The sequence below is a fragment of the Homo sapiens genome, chromosome 10 (assembly GCF_000001405.40).
Source record: "Homo sapiens chromosome 10, GRCh38.p14 Primary Assembly".
In the NCBI taxonomy this organism is placed as follows: domain Eukaryota; kingdom Metazoa; phylum Chordata; class Mammalia; order Primates; family Hominidae; genus Homo; species Homo sapiens.
In genome coordinates, this window is record NC_000010.11 from 81,107,465 (window position 1) to 81,110,096 (window position 2,632).

A 2,632-nucleotide genomic window follows, 5' to 3' on the forward strand; every position below is an offset into this window, starting at 1 on the left:
CAGAAATTACAATTAAAGAAAATTTTCCTAGGGGTGGGAGGAAACTTTTGGAGCTGATGGAGGTCTATGACACAGATTCTGGTGATGGTTTCACCAGTTTATACTTATCTGCAAACTCATCAAATTGTATCCATTAAATGGGTTCTCCTTTTGATATGTTAATTATACATCAATAAAATGGCTTAAATACGCACACACACACACACACACGAATATTATTCAACTTCTCACAGTACGGGATACCAGGATATTGGTAATGTGATCAGTGTTACAGAGATGTCCAGCATTCAAACTTTGAGATTCTATAAGGCTTTGGTTAGATTATAGGGGTAACCTCTCTTCTAGGCTTAAGGAAGCTGACAGCTAGTGCTTGCTTACAAAGGTTTTATGGTAAGCAAGGATAGTGTGAGGTGATAGCAGAAAGCTAATTTTTAAAGTTATCCTTCATTTTTCTTCCATTTTCTGAGCATTTCATTATCTACCTTTTTCACTGTTAATTTATAAGCAGGACACCAGCAGCTTTCCTTTTCTATTGCCGCTAGGTGGCCTGATACAAGTTAGCAGTAATATTTGGAGAATGGCATATCCATCTGCAGTATAAAGTCAATTACTATCACGCCTGTAATCCCAGCACTTTGGGAGGCCAAGGCGGGTGGAGCAGAAGGTCAGGAGTTCAAGACCAGCCTGGCCAATATGGTGAAACCCCATCTCTAATAAAAAAATACATTAAAAAATTAGCTGGGCATGGTGGCGCACACGTGTAATCCCAGCTACTTGGGAGGCTGAGGCAGGAGAATCTCTTGAACTCGGGAGGCGGAGGTTGCAGTGAGCTGAGATCACACCACTGCACTCCAGCCTGGGCGACAGAGTGAGACTCCATCTCAAAAAAAACAACAAAAAACAATTACTAGAAACTGGCTTTTGTAACGCCAAGGAATTTTCCGTCATTCTTCTAGTATAAGGAAGCTCTTTTGGAAATGCAGTGGTAAGAAAGTCCATATGAAATTCATGAGTTTTGAGAGCTGCAAGGGGTGTTAATTCATCCAGTCCAATAACTTTGAACCATGGATGTACGTCATAATCATCCATGAAATTGTTTAAAGTCAAATATACCTGAATGTCCCTTGTTCCATGGGCCCAGGGTGAGCCTTGAGCATTTAGGGTTATGAAAATTGCCACAGGCGATTCTGATGTTCACTCTTGAAGAACCAGGACAACTTCCTCATTTACAGGCCTCACAATGACTCAGGGCTGTCTGGGCTGGAGCAGGCTTGGAGGCAGTTCTGAGTTCCAGCCACCTCCTTTCTGCTGCATCATAATCTCTTAGTGTTCTTTCAGTGTGTTTTGCTGTCCTCACTCTCCCCATCACCACAGCTTTCTCCTAGATTTAAATTTGACTTTGGCAAGAGAGGAGATCAGAAAAATATCACAAAACCTTATCAGATGAATGCTGAGCAATCAGAAAGCAAACATTTACCTCCTTCTCATCTTCATTACCCCCGGTGACCATAATTTCTATTTCATCACCAGCCTGGCTGGGCAGGCCCCTAATTAAATAGTTAGCTTCATCAGCTGCAGGCTTTGAGATAACAGTAGGCACAATAAACAATAGAATGTGACTCAGCTAGGTAGTTGTAGCTAATGAATGACAATCATATACAGAGTTTCAAGTGCACATTTCAGGGGATGCATTCAGTTAGAATATTATTAGTAGAATTGCTAACAGTACTAACCAGAACACTGAGACCTTATCTTTCCTATAATGGAGCCCTCCTCTAGTTTGGAGACCTGATGCAATCAGTCAAGCTTGCTTGCTCTTCTGCTTCCTTTGTGTTCAATACCAATTATAAGAAATATGGTATATAGGGGACCATACGTCTGTTTGCAGGTCTTAAGTATGTAAATTGGATTGTTTATATCTAGGTCTTCTGGAGAAAGACTTTGCTTATGTATTCAATTTATTTTCATTGCTTAGCAGTACTTAGTAAAAAGGCTTTTCAATGACCTCGGAGGCAGGATGGTCCAATCTAGTGGAAAGATCATTTCAGTAGGATCTGAAGACTCAGATTTTAGTTTCAGCTCTGCAAGAAAGAGGAAGGCACGAGTTCTGTTTCTCAAATGCAATAAGTTACTTATAAGGTTTGATCGATGGGTCATTGTGAGATAAGATAATCCATTCAAAAATACTTTGGGGATGACGCACTGTTGTGAAAATATGATGCTATTCTGGTCCAGTTCCATGGACTCATTGATATAGTCATTAAAAATAACACGATTAGCTTTCCAAGGCAATTTTCGGATTTTAATTTGTTTTTTTGAAATATAATATGATGGTAATTTTCTAAGTTTGGAATTGCTGTCTCTTCTATAGAAAATAATTGAAACTGAAAATATAATATAAATGTAATTAGATTTAAATGTCGCTAATATTTTTGGTTCTATTCTGTTGTGCCACTGGGGCAAGTGCCTATCTACTTGCTATGCCTGTAGCATCTTCATGTTTACGAAACAATTAACGTTTCCTAGAACCATTTGGAAAATGTTACGGTATCTTTACTTTGCTCAGCATAAACAGGGAGGCAGAAAGAAGCTCAAAACTATGGAAACTCAAGGGGCGGTGGCTTACCATACT

At 39.5% G+C, this 2,632-nt stretch overlaps 1 annotated feature.

The window, feature by feature from the left end:
* Window positions 1,442–1,521: an enhancer, noted in NCBI's record as "active region_3672". NCBI's record gives its function as "activates an Ori minimal core promoter by ATAC-STARR-seq in GM12878 lymphoblastoid cells {active_cell/tissue: GM12878}" and the evidence as "EXISTENCE:reporter gene assay evidence [ECO:0000049][PMID:35858748]".